Genomic DNA, 6,275 nt, shown 5'->3' on the forward strand with positions numbered 1-6,275 from the left:
AGGATTCCCTGTTTAATAAATGGTGCTGGGAAAACTGGCTAGCCGTATGTTGAAAGCTGAAACTGGATCCCTTCCTTACACCTTATACAAAAATTAATTCAAGATGGATTAAAGACTTAAATGCTAGACCCAAAACCATAAAAACCCTAGAAGAAAACCTAGGCAATACCATTCAGGCCATAGGCATGGGCAAGGACTTCATGTCTAAAACACCAAAAGCAATGGCAACAAAAGCCAAAATTGACAAAGGGGATCTAATTAAACTGAAGAGCTTCTGCACAGCAAAAGAAACTACCGTCAGAGTGAACAGGCAGCCTACAGAATGGGAGAAAATTTTTGCAATCTACCCATCTGACAAAGGGCTAATATCCAGAATATACAATGAACTTAAACAAATTCACAGGAAAAAAACAAACAACCCCATCAAAAAGTGGGCAAAGGATATGAACAGACACTTCTCAAAAGAAGACATTCATGCATCCAACAGACACATGAAAAAATGCTCATCATCACTGGTCATCAGAGAAATGCAAATCAAAACCACAATGAGATACCATCTCACACCAGTTAGAATGGCAATCATTAAAAAGTCAGGAAACAACAGGTGCTGGAGAGGATGTGGAGAAATAGGAACGCTTTTACAGTGTTGTTGGGAGTGTAAACTAGTTCAACCATTGTGGAAGACAGTGTGGCAATTCCTCAAGGATCTAGAACTAGAAATATCATTTGACCCAGCGACCCCATTATTGGGTATATACCCAAAGGATTATAAATCATGCTACTATAAAGACACATGCACACTTATGTTTATTGTGGCACTATGCACAATAGCAAAGACTTGGAACCAACCCAAATGTCCATCAATGATAGACTGGATTAAGAAAATGTGGCACATATACACCATGGAATACTATGCAGCCATAAAAAATGATGAGTTCATGTCCTTTGTAGGGACATGGATGAAATCGGAAACCATCATTCTCAGTAAACTATCGCAAGAACAAAAAACCAAACACCGCATATTCTCACTCATAGGTGGGAATTGAACAATGAGATCACATGGACACAGGAAGGGGAACATCACACTCTGGGGACTGTTTTGGGGTGGGGGGAGGGGGGAGGGATAGCACTGGGAGATATACCTAATGCTAGATGACAAGTTAGTGGGTGCAGCACACCTGCATGGCACATGTATACGTATGTAAGTAACCTGCACAATGTGCACATGTACCCTAAAACTTAAAGTATAATAATTAAAAAATAAATAAATTAATTAATTAATTTAAAAAATGTGGCACATATACACCATGGAATACTATGCAGCCATTAAAAAGGATGAGTTCATGTCCTTTGCAGGGACATGGACGTAGCTGGAAACCATCATTCTGAGCAAACTATCACAAGGGCAGAAAACCAAACACTGCACGTTCTCACTCATAATTGGGAATTGAACAATGAGAACACTTAGACACAGAGCAGGGAACATCACACCCCGGGGCCTTTCGGGGGTGGAGGGCAGGGGGAGGGATAGCATTAGGAGAAATACCTAATGTAAATGACGAGTTAATGGGTGCAGCAAACCAACATGACACATGCATACCTATATAACAAACCTGCACGTTGTGCACATGTACCCTAGAACTTAAAGTATAATTTAAAAAAATAAAAATAAGAGGTCAAAAAAATTAAACATGTTTTACTTTTTTCCTCACAAGAACATAAAAATTACGGAGGGGAACTTAACAGGGAATTTTTAAAAGGTAACACAATTTTTCCTTTAAGTAGTCCTTGGGTAGTTATGACAGAATAGTTTGCACTTTTTGTTTGTTTCTTTGAACTGGGATTTTGGTCTAAAGTTTTGTTTGTTTCTAGTATCTGCTTCTGCCTCCCCCTCTATCAGATCGGCTTCCTCCACTGCCACCACCTCTTGGTGCTCCACCGCCTGAATTGCCGTGGGAATCACGTGGAGGATTTCCATAGAAGGGGGAAGCCGTCTTTCTTGTCTGCCAACCCGACCACGACCACTTGATTAGAGATCACTTCGGCTGCTTGAGTAACTGTCTCGACTTCCACCATATCCGTCACGTGAACTGCTATAATCATCGCTTCCACCATAAGATGGGGGGGCGGGGGCCCTCCTGTAGGTGGAGCACTACGTGAGTTACGATAACTTTCATATGAATCTCTGTAGGAATCTCCAGCTGGATGATCTGAATAGTCATGATCACTATTATATCCATCTCTATCGCTATAGCCTCTTGATGGATAGTCATCACGTGAACTGAAATGACCATAATCACGGTAAGTACAATCTCGCGGTGGTGGTGGTGCATAACCTCTTGTATCACGAGAACTTGGCTAATCTCTGCTTGAAGAACTGTCTTCAAGAAGAACCCTCTACGAGAGGGCAGCGGTTCCCTTCCAGGTGGACCGCACTAACTATCTCTTCCACGTGACACAGGAGCTCTTCCTCCCATTCCACTGCTGCTGCGAACTGGTCCTGAAGGTGCAGAACTCTTAGGAGGAGGACCCCCACTTCTTGGTGGTGGTCTTCTTTTTACTGGGAGTGGTCCCCTGGAAGAACTCATGTTAAAATTCATGGAGTATCCACTGTCATCCATGTGTCTTCTCCATGAGGGAGGTCTCCTGGTTCCTCCACTTCTTCCTCTTCCACCTCTAAGACCTTTTGGAGGGCCTCTACTTCTTGGAGGTGGAGGCAGTCCACGTCTACCACTTTCAAATGATGGTTTGGTGGCTTGTTCCACCTTGATGGCTTTTCCATCTAATGACTTTCCATTCATGTCTCTGGCTGCATCCTTAGCATCTGCTGGGCTTTCAAAGGTGACAAAAGCAAATCCTCTTGATTTGTTGGTTTCATGCTCTTTCATCAAGAGTGCTTCCACTATTCGTCCATATTAGCCAAATACTGCTTCAAGAGCTTTCTTATTTGTTTCCGTATTAAGCCCACCAATGAAGAACTTTGCTGGACAATCTGCTTCAACTTTTTTTTTTTTTTTGCCAGTGAGTCAGAGGGGTGACAGTGGATTCAAGCTCCAACGAGCTTGCCGACAGGGGCTTCCTAGCAGCTCATCACCAGTGGCGGCTGCCGGGTCTGAGGACCAAACCGCAAAGCCGCTAGCGCTACTGTGCAACCGTGAATTGTTAAACTCTTTCCTGAAAAGTAGAGAAGAAGAAATTACGTTTAAAAACTCACCCCTCGGCCAGGCGCGGTGGCTCACACCTGTAATCCCAACACTTTGGGAGGCCAAGGCGGGCAGATCACGAGGTCAGGAGTTCGAGACCAGCATGGCCAATATGGAGAAACCCCATCTCTACTAAAAATACAAAAATTAGCCCAGAGTGGTGGCGGGCGCCTGCAGTCCCAGCTACTGGAGAGGCTGAGACAGGAGAATCCTTTGAACCCTGGAGGTGGAGCTTGCAGTGAGCCGAGACCACGCCATTGCACTCCAGCCTGGGTGACAGAGCGAGACTCTGTCTCAAAAAAAAAAAAAAAAAAAAAAAGACTCACCCCTCTTTGTTCTCCCAAAAAAAGGAAAACTTTGGGCTCTATTTTTATGGACTACTGGGGAAATAAATTAAGCTACTGGAGCTTGCACCAAGAATGACAAAAGGGGAAACGAGCTCACCTTTTAGGAGTGGGAAGAGCTGAAACCTGGCAGCACAGAGAAAGAATCTTAACGTAAGGGGCACTATTCAAGTGTGTGAGAGCTGTATACTATATTGTCTTTGCCAGCTGGTCACCTAGTCTTTCCTGGAGTGAAAAATCTCCCACTGCCCTACCCATCTGCCGCTGCCTACTCTCTGTGGATATGCTCCAGCTCTCATAATTGAAAAGAGGCCTAGTAGGGTGTAAGGGTGACCTCTTTTTGCTGAGGGCTGAACTAAGGGAAACCTGCAGGCACGTTCATTGAGATTTCAAAGCATTTTTATGCCTGACAGCTAAATATAGTTGACAGAATAACACAGCAGAAAGATTGAAGTCAGACTAACCTGGCCTTGAACCCTGGCTCTGTCCTTTACTACTGTGTGCCTTTTCCTCTAAGTTTCATAGTAGCTGTGATGATTAAATAATATATGTAAAGTATTGAGAACAGTGCCTGGTATATAGCAACTACTCCATAATTGTCAGCTTTTATTATTGCTTCTCTTTATATAGTGTTATGGATTGAATATTTATAGCTTTTCAAAATACGTATGTTGAAATCCTAGCCCCCAGTGCAATGATAATAGACACTGGGGCCTTTGGGAGGTGATTGGACCATGAGGATGCAGCCCTCATGAATAGGATTAGTGCCCTTATAAGAGAGACCTCAGAGAGCTCCCTTGCCCCTTCCACCATGTGAGCACAAAGGGAGAAGACAGCAGTCTATGAACTAGCAAGCAGGCCCTTACCAGACACCGAATCTGCCAGCATCTTGATCTAGAACTCCCCAGCCTTCAGAACTGTGAGAAATAAATGCTGTTTAAGCCACCCAGCCTATAGTATTTTTGTCATAGCAGCCTGAATGGACTAAGGCATGAAGAATCCATAAATCAGTAAGAATTTTATTTTGGGTCTTTGTCAGTCTTAATTATAAGCCTACATTGATGGGAGACTAAGAATTAAATGAGTAAATAAAAGCTGGTGTATTTGTTACACCATGTTTTACATGTAGAAGTCACAGCATAGTTTGAAAAATGAGATTTTCACATACAGGACATGACTATATATGAGTAAATGACTTATAAATAAAATGTTACATCATGTAGTTTTTTCTCTAGCCTTTTATATAATTATAACCCATATAAAGTTGCCACACTCTCACTCCTGGACAAGAGTCATTTAAACCCAAGCAGAGTTTGGCAGACCATTCCAAGCTACTGTGTGACAAACTGCTCCTACCTCAAAAGTTTAGTTTTTAAACTCTGGCATTCCAGCCTGTCCCTGCCTTTGGTCTTATTTGATATCCATTATCAGACAAATTACCAGATGCTTATTTGTGTTTATTCTGACTCAAGCTTAAGTCCCCTCAGATCTTTTGAATATCAGTCTATATTGTGATTTATCATGACCTAAGGTTTTACCCAAATACAAATTCTATCCCCCTAAGTGATTTCAGATTGGAGGCATCGGCTTCACACTTCCCCAAGTTTTTCTTCCTATTTAAAGCTCTGCATCACCTTGTCTTCCTAAAGTTCTGCCCTTATAGGTAGCTTTCAAGAATCTATAAAATCTATACTTATTTGAGAAGGAGGGTAAATTTTTTATTGAAGGTTAACACACACAAAAACAGAAAACTGCACAAAATGTAAGTGTACAGCTTTATAGCTTTTTACAAAATGAACACTCCTGTGTAACCTGTACCCAGATTAAGAAACAGTTGCAGTCCATCTCCTTTTTCCTATTGCAGACCTACTAGTTTAATTTGATCTGCTTCTTATTGACCTTCCATAAATAAAATTAAACAATACTGACTTGTCTTTATCTGACTTCTTTGCTCAATACTATGTTTGTGAGATTCATTCATATTTTTGCAGATGGCTATAGTTCATTTATTTCTGTTACTATATGTATTTCTTTACTTGATATAACACAATTTATTTACCCATCTTATTATTAATGAATATTTGGGTTGAGTCTAGTTTTTTGGTTATTAGAAATGTTGTTATAACACACTTGCCTGAGTCTTTTGGCAAATATCTAAACATTTCTGTTGCTTATGTACCTAGAAGTGAGATGGCTGGTTCATATGATTTGCAAATGTTCAACTTTAATAGATACTGCCACCCAGTTTTTCAAAGTGGTTGCAACAATGTACCTACCACACTTGGTATTGCAGAGCCCTTTTATTAGTTTGGTGCAAAAGTAATTGCGGTTTCTGCCATTAAAGGTAAGGGCAAATAAGTACAATTCCTCAAAATAAATTTCCTCATTTATGCTATACAGCTCACCTGCCTCCCACTGTATTGAGAGACTTTTTGGCTTCCCATCCCCACCTTCCATCCCTACATTCCCTGTGCTAATAAGTATTTACATTAAACTTAAATTCACCCCTCTGGTACTACCTGATATGCACTATCGTCAGTAAAGAAATGGCACTACACATTGTATAGTCTTCTTAGACTTCTCATAGTTAACTTTTCTTAACTTGGAGCTATCTGATAGTAACAATCATAGATATGTAGTCACAGACACACACACACACAAACACACACACACGCATACACACACGCCCCTGGTGCTAGTAGATGAAAAGTACAAATTTTATACACCT

At 41.3% G+C, this 6,275-nt stretch overlaps 1 pseudogene; it reads right to left on the reverse strand.

The window, feature by feature from the left end:
• Positions 1,676 to 3,153, reverse strand: RBMXP4 (RBMX pseudogene 4; annotated as a pseudogene).

The sequence above is a fragment of the Homo sapiens genome, chromosome 4, assembly GCF_000001405.40.
Source record: "Homo sapiens chromosome 4, GRCh38.p14 Primary Assembly".
In the NCBI taxonomy this organism is placed as follows: Eukaryota; Metazoa; Chordata; class Mammalia; order Primates; family Hominidae; genus Homo; species Homo sapiens.